We start from the raw sequence: 18,021 nt of genomic DNA, 5'->3' as shown, positions 1-18,021 counted from the left end.
TGTGCAACCTTCCACAGGGGTTGAAGTTTCTGTACTTAAGAGAACCTGCCAAGAGGCTGAGGAGCACTGTGTAGCCATGAAAACTTGGAGACACCCTAGGAGCAATTACTCTAAACTCCGGGAAAATAACACTTTTTTTCATACATTTTTTTTTTAGAAAGCTTGGTTCAACTGAGAACTTTACACAAAAACAAAATCAGCTTAAAATATGCATTGTCACTGAGAAAATATGGAACTTAAGCAGGGAAATTTTAAAAGTCACAACTTTTGGCAATGTAGTAGTAGTCTCTTCTGGCTGATGGAGGTCCAGCAATCTAAGTATCAGCCCAGTCCGACTACAGCTTATGGAAAAATCAGTCAAACTCTAAACAACACCTTTTCAACTGCCTGTGACCATAAGAATGGTCACACATACACAAATACTCAAATTGTTGCAAGGGCTTATTTAATTTTACACTTCATCTTTTCCTCAAAGCTCACCTTCTGGCATTCTCAAGGAAGGGCTTCAGTTGTTTCCAGGAAGGGGTGTCACTTTATCTCTGCTCACCTCACAGAAGTCAGAGACTCGTAAGCCATTTGAGGAAGATGGCACACCACCATTATTGATGCCATTCTCTTCTTTCTCAGGAAGATTCCCCCAGATCCCTCATGATATGAATTTTGTGCAGAAGTCTATGGCCAAGTGGGGATTCAGACATAGCCCTCTGTCCAACTCCAAGTAGAACTTTGGTAATATTATCAAGATGATAATACTAGAAACTAACTTGTACTAAAATGTTAATGACTTCCATATAATAGTTCCATTGTAAATGAAGTAATTTAGTACTTTAATTCCATTTCAATATGGGTATGATGAGATTTTTTCACTGAAAAGTCACTGCAGGAGATGCTATGGATGGTGTAGCTTTATGGGGCCTTTCAAAATGGAGAATTGACTTTAACGTGACAAAAATAATAAAGTATTATATGTCTTGGCAAAAAGAAAAATTAAAAATATGGGAAGTATTTTAAAAAGAAAAGGTTAAAACTCATCTTTGCCTCTTTTAATAATTTGACAACTTCTTGAGTAAGCCCATAAACTCAAGGTTTCTCTTTTATTCTAAGCTGTAACGTGGGGTTGTCAGTATTTGACTATTTTAGATGATAAATAATAACTTTAAATAATGGGCGTAAAGCAAAATGTTTCACAAATGCATGGCGGCTTCCCATTTTTGCTGAAATTTTCTTTAGTAACTGAATAAATACCCTTTCTTATTTGCTTTCAGTTCTTAAGAAGAAAAATACTTGCACCTTCAACTATAATTTTCTTATACTCTGGAAAATCATCATTGAACTAATATAAAGTACCCTGACTTTCACCTCTGTTCTATGGTGACTTAAAGTATTCCTTTGCTTTCAGGTATAGCTCTTTAAACTCCAAAGTAGGTACTATTTGTCACATTCTAAGCTTGAGTCCATTGAATAAAAAAGAGTTTCAGTGAATTCAAAGGCAGAATCCCTCATCTCTGTTATCCTAATCTGTAGTCTTGGTACTCAGAAGAAAACTGACACTCCACATTATCATTGAAAATATATGCTTTTCCTTAACTTCAAATGATATTAACATAGCCTATGACTCAGTTAAGCTCCCTGAAGGGTAGGGAAAAAGTTATATTCTTCAAGGAGATAGAAGGAACAAAGGTTTCTCTGTTGTAACACTAGCTAACAACAGGAAAGTGACAGGCATAAAGGTACCCAATAAAGAAGGCTAATTTCAAAACTAAAATAAAATTAGAAGAGAAGACCTGGTAGCCCAGTGACTAAAACTATTTTGTGAAAAAATATTAATGTTAATATCGAATAAAGTTTTCTTGGCAGTGATTCCTAGGTTATTAATTTTGGTACACTATAACTCTGCAATAGGTTTTTTACAACCTAGTCTAGAAGATGTTCTTTATATAGTGAGCACTATGTTCCCAATTCATTTCTTACCCTTGTTGTGTTTGCCACTCATCATAGAAGACATTGTTCTCACTCTGAGACCTGTTTAAGAAAATAAATAGATCTCTCAAACTAGAAATGGGTCTGCTTTAGAAATCGCACCATCTAGACATAAATCATTGTATATGATTTTGAAGATTTTTTTTAAAAGGCAACGTGGACGATGGTCTATTCTACTGTCTCAAATCAAGGACACCAATTTGAAGTATTTCAAAATTTAAATAAGTATTTCAAAACAAAAAATAAAAAAACAGCAGAACTCTGTGGTTGGTGACATGTGGCCCAGATGAGTGTGCTAATGGAATCATTTGTACCCTTTCTATGAGGCCAAGCACTAGCTAAAATCTTACCATCAACTTAACAACCTTCCACTAGTTCTGAGCCTTCTAAAAATATCAAGTTTTATCTTCAAGACATAACATAGATGTTTTTGAAAGTACAAAACAATATGTTTCACGACAACCTATAAAATCTATATTCTATAATTAGTGAGGTTGTCTTGCAAAATAGTTCATTTTTTAAATGTCTGCCTGTAAAATGGAACCCAGATTTTTAAAAATAATAATTCGCTTTTCATTTGAATTTTTTTATTATTTTAATTTTTTAAAAGACATATCCCTTCTAAGCAAAAACTAGAAGTTTGGTATAAAATGATCTTGAAAACACAATGCCTTTGACTGCTTAAAGAGTCCTAAATTTTATTAGTAGGCTTTTAATCATTTAAAATGATAAAGAGAGTGTCTTCTATTCATTTTCAATAGGACAAGGCAATATTAAAACGAGACCATTCCATCAGAGAAGCTTGATTATTTTCTCAGTGTTTTAAATTATGCATATGATTGGTGACACAAATGCATGTTTAAGTGGTTGCAAATTTAAAAAATCAATATTCCCAAAGAACTAAAATTATGCCCAATCATAAATAACAAATTAATTCACCTGCATATTTTGATTTACAACTTACCCTATGAACATGAACATTTTATGAAAGAGAAATATCTTTTCACATCAACTTGTATTCATTATATTTCATATAAATATAGCTCAAATCAAACACAAGACTTTTCAAAGAGAAAAAAATTAGAACTGTTCCTTGTTCTTTTCTTTCCCATATGATCTGGTGTGCAATGTGGACTGCCATGTTGCACCAAACCCACAGCAACCAGGACCCATTGTTCCCAAGGGAAGCATAGCCTATGCGGGAATGCAATGGTGTGCTCTGCAAGGAACGTGGAAAATAGCATGTCACTACTGTACGGTACACAACAGACAATTATGATTCAACTGTCCAAATTATAATCAGTTTGACAAATGTCCACAAGCGTCTTCATTCTATTTTATATTTTCCCTAAGACAAGGCAATCACACAACCAGACAATTCCATCAGGGAAGCTTGTTAGCTGCTTAGTCTGTTAAACCCTGGTTGCCATAGCATCTAGAGTTGAAAAAGCTGCAGATTGGCATGAAAAAGCATGTCGACAATTGCCCTGTCACAGCATGCAAGCCAGGTCTGCTCAAAGGCAGCACACTACAAGTTTTCTTTCCCAGTTTGCACTACCCCATGCTGTTTAATAATATCCATTTACTGGTATTGGGATTGATCTAGCACAGTGTAAAATTCACGTCTAGTGAGACTTTGCTTTTCCCATGGAGTGAAATTCTTTAACAAATGGGAGTATGGCAATTAATTTAAAAATGTAATACTGTATGTAATATAAGAAGTATATTTAGATTTAATTGAGAAACTGTCCAAAATTTTAATGCACAGTTCTTTAAAGAGCCAGTCTTACTTGGCAATTTTTCAGTTGACTTTGTAGTCATTTCTGAAGCCTAGTTAGTCATACTTTGGAGATGACAGACAGCATTCAAAATTCAGTAGTATATTTTTAAACATGTTTTAATCGTGCCATAGTCATTTCTTCTTTATATGCGTGGTATAATTTAATTAAGGATATACATTTCTAAAATAACTATAATTTAATTAAAGATTAATATCATGAACATTGAAATTATAGTCTAGAGAGCAATGTGCATCAGCTTTTTTTTCCAGAGGGATCTTATACTTAATGGTGATAAATTACCACGTATTAATACGAAAAAGTGGGTTTCTACCAAAGAGTATTCAAACCCCTGCCAACTATCAGAATTACAGAGAGTACAGATTTTCATCTAAAGTAAAGTATGCTTACAAACAAGCAATGTTATTAGACTATAAAAATATAAAAATATGTACATCTATTGTAAGACTTAAAAAATAATTTTTGCTTAGAAGTTTATATTCACATTATTCAGCCCTTCCTTCTTCCATTATCTCCTTTTATTCCAATATGTCACTTCAATTTAGGTTTTCTTTGATGCCACAAAGAAAAAAAATCTGAAAGTACATCCACAAGAACACAACCTAGCAAACCAATAAGGATTTAAAATATAAATATTTGTCTACATTTTCTAAACCATATTTTATTTCCATTGATATCCATTGCTTTACTCTTCTAGTGTTACAAAACACTGTTTTGTTGAGTATGAGTGATCTCTTTTTTTAATCTTACATGTGAAAAAACTTGATAGTTTATCATAATATAAGAAAGTGATGATATTTTTTTAGAAATGCTGAAATAATTATTATTTTTCAGGTTCCTGAACTATTGAAGACCTAGTCCCGTTTTTTTTTTCCCGAAACAAGATTAACAAGTATTTTATATAAAATAATCAAAGCATAACACCTTGAGATTTAGATACACATATACAGTACCTATATTCATATATATATACATACAGATAGATACATATGAAAATAGTGTTACTGACTGGACCTCTTAAGACTATAAAATTTAAATCCCTCATTTTCTAGGAATTCTCAAAAATCTCAAAATCTTGGGATGAAACTTGGTTCACATATGGTGTCCATGAATGTGTTTTCTTATACCACATCTTCCAGTTTTTTTTTAAAAAAAGGAGAAAAGCTGTTTACTTGTTAAAGGTCTTTTTATAAGCTTTGATGACTCAAAAACACCTTCATTTTAACACATGAAATTTGGCAAAGAACTTAACCATGTTACCATTTGAAAGACTTTGATATTTGGAAAAAGAGAGAATTAAAAACAACAGAGATTGAGACTTAAGTTGGCTCTTGTGTATAGAACATAATTTTCTCAAGTATTTTTTTAGTAGAAGAATTTACTATGAAAACTTATCTGCCAGAATACCATAACATATCAAAGTCATAGTTATCTTGAATGAACAATGATAAATATAGCTGAAAACTTTCCTTCAGTGTATTAAGTTAAAAAACAAAACAAAACATAAAACTCTTGGTAAAGAGATAACACGTAAATGGATAAATATTTTTGTCAAGTAAAAAGCTTAACGAGATGTTGAGATAAAAATTACTCTTATTGTATTTTTCAAAAAAATTGTGTTTAAACTTTTTTGTTGTTTTTCCTCATTTCCTTATTTCACACTCAGTACAATGCAATGTAGTCCTTCAAGTTGGACTGAAGGAGGTACCACCTCTTAACCAGCCTCAGGACATGTTCATTTTCCTACCGTTCTCAAAGCATTAAGTTTGAAGAAGCTAAGAACTGGGTAGCATGGAAATGAGAGTTTATGCTTTAACTCAGAGTACCTTTGCTTTAGCCAGGATACCTCAAATCATCCCTGTAACCCAAATGCTTTTCTTTGTCTGTGATTCAAAAAACAAATGTTTGTCTTTATAACTGTGCTGTGTTAATATTATGCATTCCCAGTACATTTTTTTAAAAAAATTAATTATGCATGAACTACGTTTTCTTTTTATACCTGATTTATTTTGTGTTCATTTTTCTACTCTAAAATGGGAAATAAAATGATTCTTTCCGAGTTGCTTAGATTATTTTCATTGGCTATCATGATTACTTTTGGATATCCTCTACAAATACTCTATCTTTCAGTCATTTTGACTATTCCCAAATTGTCAAATAGAAATTATACAAGAAAATGTCGATAAACCTAAGATTCCATAAAAAGATAAAACAACTTGACTTGTGGTACCAAATAATAGAAATGATTTTGCAATGTTATTAGTTTCTTTCACAATACTCAGTGTAAATGTCATAATAAAGATATAACACCATTTAATTTCTTAAAATAAATGCATCCCATTAATTCCCCATGTGGAATACTACCTTATACAAAATGTAGGTTTCATACAAACACATGCATTCTTGTGTAAGGTAGTTCTTGTTTTTCTGGGTGATCTTGCCTTATTCTGAAATTTTCTTCACCTGACTGAAAGCACATTAACTGCTAGATAGGCATCACACTGATGTCTCCATACTGTAGCATACAGCCGTGAATTTGCTACGATCTGTTTAATCAGCAGTGTATTGATTTTCCGCAGCTTTCCTTCATTTTAGCCCCATAGCAGGCTTCTGTAATTTCCTTTGGACAAAGTGTAACCAAACTGTGCTAAGTGATGTTGATTTGCAGGCAAAAGTAAAGGGGTAAATATAAATTAACAAGCTATAAACATTTTACAAGTGGGGAGTCAATAAAAACAGTGTCTGCGGTTTCTTTTAAAAAAAATGATTTGAAGCAGATTGTTAACAAAGGTGTCCAAAGAAACTGACATGAGTCTGAGAATAATTTTTGTGCTTTGTGATTAAGAATTGATCAGTCTAAAAGCCTCGGATGCAACTGAATCACCCATAAGCTGCTGGCCTGAAAAGGCTCAGCAGGGGCTGGTATTTGTTTGTTAAACTCCCATGATTCCAAGTAGATAATTGGTCTGTGAAGTTCATGGCAGAATCTGAATTTGCTTTCTTGCTTCCCAGCTGGCTGAGCACTGGTTTATAGACTTCTGTGTACAAATTTAGCCAGCAGCAAACCTCACATCTTTAATATAAAAGGTGTTTTGTTGTGTTTTTCAGGTGCTGAGTGGAAAGCCCACACTCCAGAAGCTCATTAAAAGGGCCAAGTTACAGTACAGGTTTATTTCTGTCACAGCGTTTCTGAAAACAGTGACAAGGATTAATATGTTTCTTTAGTACTGGAAAAAACCTGACACAATCCCTTGTGAATTTGATCATCTGTTTCATTGCCTGTATAAGATTCAATCTCCTATTATATCCTAAAGTTACAGCTGTAAACTAAGGCTGGTAAGAATTCATAAGCTATTGCAGAAGCCTGCGGCAAAACTAATTGTTTTATTCAACAGTCACTTGTTTATTTATTATTTATTTCATACTCCCCTCCTATAATCCTTTTCCACTCTCCTTCCTCAAAGTCAAGATTATCTTGGTTCGTTGCCTGAATGCACAGAGCAAATACAGAAACGGGGAGCCCTATTCCAGGAGTTCTCAAAAAAGTTCCTACGGATCAGTGTTTTGTGGAAATACCCATTCTAAATGTTTTATAAAAATATTCTTACTCTCCTTTGATTGGCATAAAAATTCCTTGCTAAAAAGCAATATTTGCACAAATATTATAACCTTTGTTTTCTGTGTCATCATGTGACATTAAGCTTTATTTGCTAGTGGTTGCTATGTGTCTGACACATGATTTGCCATGTGGTACATGTAAATCACAGCAAAGTGCAAAGTATATTATAAAACAATTCTGTTTTACATCAAATTAGATAGGCAAATATCTATTCGCTATTTTCAAAAATTAAAATGCAATATGCTATATAGATACTGTAAAACAAATAATATTTAACATTGAGAAAGCTCTCTCTCTCTTTCCTTCTCCTCTCCCTCTTCCTTCTTCTCCCAAGTTAATTGTGGAGGAATGTTTATTCATTATCTTCCAGTTTTTGTTATTATGGGAAATTATATGCTGTATTAGAATTTTAGATAAAAATATGCATATAAATATGTATATTCAAAATTTCAAACTTTACGTAAGTACAAAATAAGACATAAACAGAAAAATCCCTAATGATCCATTGTATACACCTTATAAATATTGGAAATTATTGCAAGAGTAGGCTGAAGAAGTACACTTTTGCCCCGTTGGAAATTAGGCATTAAGCTTCCTTTACTCTTAACAGAAGTTGTGTGCCTAATTCCCTATGCATCACAGACATTTTAACCCATAATAACTGATTGTAAATACAGTATGAAACAAGCTAGAGCCTTATTTGCACCTGCCAATTTGCTGCCCTCAAGCAGTAAAAACAAAAACAAAATGGTAGCAAAAGAACTGCCAAGCAAAACACACCCTGCCCCTCATGTACACTACTTTCTATTTCCACAAACAAGACCTTTTGCCTCATGTTTTCCATCAACAAACTTAACTATGGGATTTCAAATAAACTTAAGGAAAAAGACATTTGCATGATAGAACTATAACAAAATAATTGTTAACATGGCCATCTCCTTCAAATGTGTCCCCTTAAAATAATGTTAGTACTGTAAGTGCTTTATGGCATTTTTAATTATGAAGTAACACATACTCCAGGAAATGCATATGTTGCAATGGCAGCCACTTATTTTTACTGAATAGCCACAACATTTGCGCTCAATTTTGATCATACAATAAAAGCCATGTGAGTCATTAAAAACAATATATCATAGATATTTTAAGGTTGGTTAAGTTGCATTCCCTGCTGTTTTTTCATTCCCTGAGCTTTCCTATCATACCACATTTACATAAATCATGGTAGCCTAATTATTTATGTTTCTATTTTTTTTTAGAGCTTAAAGTATCTGTTAACTTTTTAGTGAGGATTTCCCTACTACTTTGATTTAATAAAAATAATTTTTGCCAAATGTTAGACAGTCTTTCAGTATTCTACTGCGGGTAGTAGTGATTTGCATTATTATTGCATATATTACTTAACTTGCATTTTAAAAATGGTAACATAAGGCATATAATAGTGACTTGTAAACGTAATGATATGCATAATTTGTGAATCAAAGCATTTTTTTTTCCAGTGAGCTCAATATATGTTATTTGATGTTGACCCCTATTCTTTTTTTTTTTTCTTTTGAAACGGAGTGTCGCTCTGTTGCCCAGGCTGGAGTGGAACGGCATGATCTCGGCTCATTGCTACCTCCGCCTCCCAGGTTCAAGCGATTGTCCTGCCACAGCCTCATTAGTAGCTGGGATTAAAGGCACGCACCACCACGCCCAGCCAATTTTTTTGTATTTTTAGTAGAGACGGGGTGTCACCATGTTGGTCAGACTGGTCTCAAAATCCTGACCTCGTGATCCGCCCGCCTCGGCCTCCCAAAGTGCTGGGATTAAGGCGTGAGCCACCGCGCCCGGCCTGATGTTGACCCCTATTCTTAAAATATTCAGTGTATTGTGTACAAGAACCTTATACATCTTGATTAGTATTTTAAGGTTTTTGAGAACAAATATTATTTTCTCACATAGAATAAAATTGAGGAAAACTTCATGGACAAATTATAATTGATGGCTAAGTCAAAATAAGAATTCGATACTCTTTAGACTTTAGATTACACCTTGATATTTCTTGCCAAAGTCTTGTGATTTCCAGAGCTGGTAAACATGTGGAGATTTATGTTTTACTAGCTAGATCGTAGCATCCTAAGGACAGGGTGTCTTGTTTAACTTTTAACCCACATTAAACACATATTGAGTGTTCAGTAAATATGCACTAAATTAAATTAACTGAAACTTTCAGGACATACATAGCCAATATATGGCATCTTAGCAGATTACACTAATTCTTGGCACTTATGACAATGATGTTGACAGCTTTTCAGATTAGTATCATATTGCAGTTACAAATTCTTGCACATACTACATTGTGCTTTTAATGAAATATAAGATGAATAAGAATAAAAAACAGAATAGTAAGCAATGTCACATTACTCCTATATACATAAGGTTAGATATTTTAGGGAGGAAAGGGTAAAATTCTAAGCCTTTTTTGTGGTAAAAATGTAAAGTTTAGAACCCTATGAAACATTAGTGAACATGAATATAGATATAAAAAGAATGCTATAAAATATATGCTTGCTATAGGTTTATGAGACAGTATTAATTCATATCCTTCATTAAAAATTACATATGACAATATAAAATTTCAATCATGTAACTATTTGATTTGAGTAAGTATGCAGCATGGCCTTATATTTACCATGGAAATGTATACTGAGAAAGAGACCAAGGCAGATACAATTTGTTTAAACTAAGTTTGAAGCTATCTCTATGTAGCTTTAGTCAGTTAAAAATAGTCAAATGTTTCAAATTGCTAAGAACCTCTTAAAGGACAAAATAACAATTTTATTCACATTCAAACTAGAAGAACATCCACAAAACATCCTCATGGTTACTTTGGACTCTTCTTAGGGTTAGACAATTTTTCCTATCAATGTCTGCTCTCAGATGTTAAATTCTAGAGTGGTAGGTATTATATTATGTAGGTGTATGATAAAAATCTGAGGCGTATTTTAAAAAGAAGGACACAATTTATGCTAACAGTGTCAATCAAACACTTAAAAGTACTGTTTATTTAGGATGATTAATGACTATCAAACATCTTTGTTGACTTCACTTTGCAGTTAAGTAGTGGTCTCAAGTTTATTTTGGTAATAAAGCACTGTTCTGGGAAATGAATTCAAGTCTTTAGTTCTCATCTATTTAACCTTTAGATTTGTGTTAAGTGGAAATGATGCTTTGTTCCCTCAATTTCCTTTATTCTGCATTGTACTACACCTTTTCACTGAAACACATTCAAACCAGTGAATTGGATACGTACTGTAATGTACTAACAGCTGTAGCTGCCCTTAGTTCAAGTAACTTCAGAAAGTTAAAATAAGTTAATGATCAATTGTCTGTGAATAAAGACTATTGCCGATCATAGTGTATTTGCACATACCCTGAACAAAATGAACTATTTTTGCTTTTTCAGCTTGTTCTTATTCTTCCACTGTTTTTAAAGTTCTTTTATTCAATGCCAAACACATGATGCTATACAATTATTTCAGTCTTCATCCAAAGAATATACATTCCAATTAATATAAATGTCATCAGTGTAGGTGATGTGCTTTGGGAATTTTTTTTTTCTTTTTTGAGGTGGGAGTTTAGTTCTTGTCACCAGCTGGAGTGCAATGGCACAATCTCGGCTCATTGCAACCTTCGCCTCCCGGGTTCAAGTGATTCTCCTGCCTCAGCTTCCCAAGCTGATTACAGGCGCCGGCCACCATGCCCGGCTAATTTTGTGTTTTTAGTAGAGACAGGGTTTCACCATGTTGGTCAGGCTGGTCTCGAACTGCTGACCTCAGGTGATCCACCCGCTTCAGCAATATTTACATGAGGTATACTTATACATTTTTTTTTTTTTTTTGAGATGGAATATCGCACCATCGCCTGGGCTGGAGTACAATGGCGCGATCTCGGCTCACTGCAACCTCCACCTCCTGGGTTCAAGTGATTCTCCTGCCTCAGCCTCCCAAGTAGCTGGGATGACAGGCGCCCACGACCACGCCTGGCTAATTTCTTGTATTTTTAGTAGAGACGGGGTTTCACTATGTTGGCCAGGCTGATCTCGAACTCCTGACCTCATAACCCGTCCACCTTGGTCTCCCAAAGTGCTGGAATTACAAGTGTGAGTCACCGTGCCTGGCCTACGTATACATTTATCTCATAATTACAAATAATAATACCATGGATATGGTACTTACTTAGAACGATTTGTGTCCAAATCACAGATTGTTATTTTTGTTGAACTATTTGTTTATAAATTAAAAATGTGGTTATCTAATTAATTGAGTCTTCTTACAGGAAGCTATTCCTTTGGGGAGAAAATTATAACATCAGGTAGGAGATTTGCCCAAGTAACTTTCTCCCAGTTTTACGTAGTCAACAATATTTATTATGCTCCTACTTCATAATAGGATACTATGTAGATATTGTATAGGAATTGTCCATAAAAGGGGGGGGTGCAGTGCCAGATACCTGCCCACAAAGCATTTTAGTATGTATTGGAGAACGAGGATATACATCAAGACTTAGCTGAACACTTTTATTAACCAGAGTTATATAAGTACCAATAAAATGCCAAGTGGAAGCACAATTAGAATCAGGTGGGATTAATCATGGAAAACTTTCCAGAAAAAAAAATAGTTTTAAGCCAGATTTTCAAGTAATTACTATTTGATGGGAAGGATAGGGACTAAATAAGCTCACCAGAAGGGAATTAAATGTCATTCAAGAAATTTTGAATGTCTCCAATGTGCAAGCCACTATCCTCAGAGGCTCAGAGCTTCTTTGATACACACAAGATTCACACACTATGCCTGCCCTCCTGATTTCTCCAACCAGTGATGGAAATGCACAGGCAAATGACAATGGCATATGTCAAGACTCACAAGCAGAAACACAGGTGATATTTCAGAGAACAAAAAAAAAACTTGTTTGCCTACACTAATGATTCCATATAGAAGAATAAGAATCCATTTATGAAATGAGCAGGAGAGGATCACCAGTTGGCAGATGATGTTTAAAGCACACACATCAGCTAGAAACAGTTTCAGCCCTGAGAGCTATGAATCAAGAATTCCAAAATATCATCAATGTCCCAGGTTCCTTCCCTCTTTCTGCTCCATGATTCATAATATAAAGCTCTAGAACTCATAATCACAATATGTCTTCAACCCATAATACAGTGCTGGGACTGAATTCTAGGCAAAAGAAAAGGAAAGAGCAAGATATGACTGTGTTATTTTCGCATTCCCTTTTGAGGAGCTTTTATGAAAGACTCACCCTGTGACTTCCTTTTATACCTCTTTGAACCATACTGTGCCACCGAACTGCAGGAAATGCTGCCCTTGTTGTTTTTCACTGGTCATATTGCCACACCTAGCAAATTAGACTTACCTAGTAAGGAAGATGAGAATGAAAATGAGATTGTGTTTACCAGGGTAGGATTGAGAAGTTCTTATTTAGAAAGCACTGAAAGTAAGCAAGAAAGTGCTGAAGAAGCATTATGAACAGAATAATGGGCAGAAGTTATGTTAATAATTGTATATAAGCTTTGGAAAAAATATGATTGGGCACAAGATTGGTTTTAGACTATTGAATTAAACAACAGAGGTATTTTTTATTCAAATAGTTGTGTATTGATTCTGAAAATGGTAAACCTGAGAGATGACCCGAGGAAATAATCCTCAATACTTGTCAATGAAAACATATAGAAGAAGCAAAGGATATGTCTCTCTCTCTCTCTCTCTCTCTGTGTGTGTGTGTGTGTGTGTGTGTGTGTGTGTGTGTGTGTATGAGAGAGAGAAAGAAACAGAGACAGAGACAGATTATTTAAATTTATGTTTAGTTAACAATCAGCCAGTTTGAATCACAAAGACTGTGGTACAATTGTACAGATAAAGAAATCAGATATCTTTGAAACAGAAAAAAGGTAAAAATGCTTGAGTGGGAAAAAACACATGGGTAGTAGATTCCCTTTTTTTTTTTGAGCTGGAGTCTCACTTTGTTGCCCAGGCTGGAGTGCAGTGGCGAGATCTTGGCTCACTGCAACCTCTGCCTCCCAAGCTCAAGTGATTCTCCTGCCTCAGCCTCCCAAGTAGCTGGTACTACAGGCCCACACCACTATGCCCGGCTAATATTTGTATTTTTAGTAGAGACGGTGTTTCACTATGTTGGCTAGGCTGGTCTCAAACTCCTGACTTAATGATCCGCCTGCCTCAGCCTCCCAAAGCGCTGGGATTACAGGCGTGAGCCACCCTGGCCAGCCCATTCCCCTCTTCTATATTAAGTTTTGTAAGAGACTAGGATGGGAACATCTCCTCTGAGACTACAGAGATGGGTGCAGAAGTGGAAATATATTCTAATAGGCCTGAACTTCCCTCTGGCAGACACGCATGCGCATGCACAGACATACCACCTTCCCCATCTCAGCTGTCACTGCAGTCACTCGAATTAAAAATTTGAGTCCTCATTTTTTCCTTTCCTCAATACTCACATCCAATCAGCGGCAATTCCTATAAGCATTACTTGCAAAATATGTCTTGAATTTGACCACTTGTTATCCTCTCCACTGCTACCAACCTAGTTCAAGCCTTTTGCTAGGGTTACTACAACAGTATCTCACCTGATCACCCTATACTCTTATCCCTCACAATGTATTCTCCCCCTGACAACTAGAGTGATTTTCTTAGAGACTGTAAATCAGATTCTGATACTCAACATGCTTAAAACTGTTAAGATAGATTTCTACTGCAATTAGAGTTAAAACCTTCAGATTCCATATCATGGCCTACATAGTCATACAAGATCTGACCCCTCAGCACGGTTCCACTCATTCTCTCTGTATTGGTACACTTTCTATTTCTTTAGTACATTCAGATCACTCCCACTGAGTACCTTTGCACTTAACTGTTTGCCCTTCCTACAACACTCTTCTCCAAGAAGATTATACCCATATATCTGGTTCCTTCTCTCTCAGGCCTTCAGAGACCAGCCCATCTCAAGTGGTTTCCTTCCACCAAGTCATCATCCCTGTGTTATTGTCTACATTATAACTTTCACTATCCAAAATATGTGCTTTATTCTATATTGTATATTGTGTCTACCCACTAGAATGTAAGCTCCACAGAGCGAGCACATTATCAGTCATTTGCATTATTGTTTCCCTGCACGTAAAGCAGCACTTGCCTCATAATAAGCACTCAGTAAATACTTGTGGAATAAATAAATGATTAGGATTGCTACTGGAAGATGTTCATAGCACTGTTTTTAAAATGAGGGAACTCTTTTGACTAGCTGATGAGAACCATGAACTATTAATACTCTTTTGCAATAGCAAAACTAAGGCCGTAGCAGGAAAGCAATAACTAACTATAGGCTATTGGGACATTCATTCTTGCACAGAAAATAGAAGGTAGAGGAACAGGGCTATTCAAGTTTGAAACTGAAGGTATATATAAAGGAATAACCGGATCAGGAACTGTAGTCTAGTAGAGTGACTATGTAATCTGATTGTCTCAAGACAGTCTCGGTTTAAATCTATTGTCCCAACTTAATTATCAACCATGGCCCCTTGCATTCTCAACAGTGCTCCTGAGATGAAAAACTATATAGTCAATTTTAGTCTAGGATGCTACAGAGCTATCCATGGAGTTCCTACAAGCCAGTGAAAACGAAAGAAGATTCCCTGGTAGTTTTCTACCATGTTACTTTCTCCTCTGAAATACAGAAAAACTCAGAATGTTTTGCAAAGGCACAGGTCTCAAAGGGCTCAGCGTGGACATTTTCACCAGCTGCCTCGATGACTTTGCAATAAGCTATCATCCAGGGAACTCAGCCTGAGCTCCTGCTAAAGTATTTGGCATAAAAAAAAATTAACACTGCTACTTCTGATGAAAGAACAGCATGTACTTCACTGAATCATCAAGTCAAACCAAAGATGGAAGGAGTCCCAGAATGCCAGCTGGGCTAAGCTCCTGCTTTAGGAAGCTAAATACTAAAAGTTGATCTGGTCTCTAAGGGCATTTCCTTAACACACAGGTAAAATAGGCCATGTGAAGACTACATTATGGAAACAAACTATATAACTGTATGGCAGCTCTTTTACTGAATTTGTAAATATGGATGTAACAATTTTCCATTCAATTTCTGTAGCTTTCTTCAAACTCTGACTTTGGAGAGCAATATTTTGAAAACTAACATTTGACAGGTTGTCTCTGATAAACTCTTCCAATTTCTGCTATTAGCAGAATTAGTGTCGTAGATAAAATGAACATGTACTTCCTTGGAGCTTTATGAATGTTAAATCACTTAATCCTTAAAAAGGCTCTAGGAAGTAGATTCTTTTGCTATTCCAATTTTATAGATGAGAAATGTGGGCCTCAGTGAGATTAAACACCTTTTCAAAGATTAGGTAAATAGTAGAGTTAAAGTAGAATTCACATCTAGGATTGCAAACTAGAAGGCCTGTGCGGAGTTGTTGTGCTCTATTCTTTAAATTATGCTATCATTCAGTACTCAGTGCTGTAAATAGGATGCCTTAAGTAAGAAAATATGAGCACTGTACCCAAAGGGATTCTAGTCTGAATTCTTCCTACTAGTTAAAAAAAACCAAATTTATACAACAAATGATTAAAGAGATGTCTCACAATCTTTAATAGCATCATTTAAAAAAATCCCTTTAGCTTGTTTTAGCATACCGTCACAATTAGTAATCCCTCAAATGCCTTGTTACATTATGACAGCAATAGTAATAATCGTCGTAAACATGGATACACACACACACACACACACACACACACACACACACACACAGAGAGAGAGAGAGAGAGAGAGAGAGATGTTCCTCAACTTATGATGGAGTTGTATCCCAATAAACCCAATCATAAGTTGAAAATACTTAAGGCAAAAATGCATTTAATACACCTGACCTACAGAACCTCAAAGGTTGGCCTAGCCTACCTTAAACATGCTCAGAAAACTTACAATAGCCAACAGTTGGGCAAAATAATCTAACACAAAGCCTTTTATATTACAGGAGATATTCAGCATTTATTTTATAAGAAATATTTATTATTATAAAATGTTTATTTTATAGTAAAATGCTGAATATCTCATGTAATTTATTGACTACTGTACTGAAAGTGAAAAACAAAATGGTTATGTGGGTGCTCAAAGAAAAGTTTCTACTGAATGAATATTGGTTTTGTACCATCGTAACTTTGGAAAAATAAGTCAAACCACTGTAAAGTTGAAGATGCTCTGTCTATGTATATGAGTGTGTGTGTGTGTGTGTGTGTGCGCATACACTGAGTCAGGCTGTGTTCTAAGTGTGTCACATAAATTAAGCTCATTTAATTTTCTTAAACTATTTCAATTTTTCAGATGAGAAAACTGAAGTAGAAACAGAGAAAATAACTTGTCTAAGGTGACATATTTTGCGAGTGGCAAAGGTAGGATTCAAACCCAGCTCTTCTGTCTCCATAATGTGTTTGTAACCACTATTTCTGCCCCCCTATTCTACATAAATTGATTGACAAATGGCTTTCTTTCCCTTTCTGAGTCTTTTTGTTTGTTTCTGTTTTTGAAAAGAAATCAATTAGAGACAGTGTTTAATAAATGGTGTTAGCAAAACTGACTAGCCATATGCAGAAAACTGAAACTGGACTCCTTCCTTACACCTTATACAAAAATTAACTCAAGATGGATTAAAGACTTAAACGTAAGACCAACAACCATAAAAAATCCCAGAAGAAAACCTAGGCAATACCATTCAGGACATAGGCATGGGCAAAGACTTCATGTCTAAAACACCAAAAGCAATGGCAACAAAAGCCAAAATTGACAAATGGGATGTAATTAAACTAAAGAGCTTCTGCACAGTGAAAAAAAAACTATCATCAGAGTGAACAGGCATCTCCCATCCTACAGAATGGGAGAAAAATTGGGGGCTAATATCCAGAATCTACAAAGAACTTAAACAAATCTACAAGAAAAAAAAAAAAAAAAACACAACCCCATCAAGAAAGTGGGCAAAGGATATGAACAGACACTTCTGAAAAGAAGACATTTATGCAGCCAACAAATATGAAAAACAGCTCATCACCACTAGTCATTGGAGAAGTACAAATCAAAACCACAATGAGATACCATCTCAAGCCAGTTAGAATGGCGATCATTAAAAAGTCAGGAAACAACAGATGCTGGAGAGCATGTGGAGAAATACGAACGCTTTACACTGTTGGTGGGAGTGTAAATTAGTTCAAGCATTGTGGAAGACAATGTGGCAATTCCTCAAGAATCTAGAACTAAAAATACCATTTGACCCAGCAATCCCATTATGGGTCCACCAGGTATATACCCAAAGGATATTATAAATCCACAGGGTATATACCCAATGGATTATAAATTGTTCTACTATAAAGACACATGCACATATATGTTCATTGCGTCACTATTCGCAATAGCAAAGACTTGGAACCAACTTAAATGCCCATCAATGATAGACTGGGTAAGGAAAATGTGGCACATACACAGCATGGAATACTATGCAGCCATAAAAAAGGATGCGTTCATGTCCTTTGAAGGGACATGGATGAAGCTGGAAAC

The 18,021-nt window shown here is 35.2% G+C and overlaps 1 long non-coding RNA gene across 7 annotated transcripts in view, besides 1 other annotated feature; it reads right to left on the bottom strand.

The window, feature by feature from the left end:
- The window catches only part of LINC02327 (long intergenic non-protein coding RNA 2327), a 138,162-nt gene that overhangs the window by 85,284 nt on the left and 34,857 nt on the right, over positions 1-18,021 (bottom strand). For 2 of the 7 annotated variants that reach the window (NR_184195.1, NR_184190.1), the window contains one exon: positions 1,972-2,022. The exons of 3 other annotated variants lie outside the window; for them this stretch is intronic. This is a non-coding gene — a long non-coding RNA (long intergenic non-protein coding RNA 2327). Of the gene's footprint in view, positions 1-1,971; positions 2,023-12,696; positions 12,811-18,021 lie in introns of all 7 variants that reach the window. 2 more of the 7 variants (NR_184194.1, NR_184198.1) reach the window with 1 other exon arrangement.
- Positions 6,397-6,898: an enhancer, noted in NCBI's record as "NANOG hESC enhancer chr14:29345421-29345922 (GRCh37/hg19 assembly coordinates)". NCBI's record gives its function as "activates a minimal SCP1, AML or CMV promoter by ChIP-STARR-seq in primed H9 embryonic stem cells {active_cell/tissue: H9 hESC(primed)}" and the evidence as "EXISTENCE:reporter gene assay evidence [ECO:0000049][PMID:30033119]".

The sequence above is a fragment of the Homo sapiens genome, chromosome 14 (genome assembly GCF_000001405.40).
Source record: "Homo sapiens chromosome 14, GRCh38.p14 Primary Assembly".
NCBI lineage: Eukaryota > Metazoa > Chordata > Mammalia > Primates > Hominidae > Homo > Homo sapiens.
The sequence above is the reverse complement of the archived record's forward strand: the minus strand, read 5'-3'. Positions and strand labels throughout refer to the sequence as shown.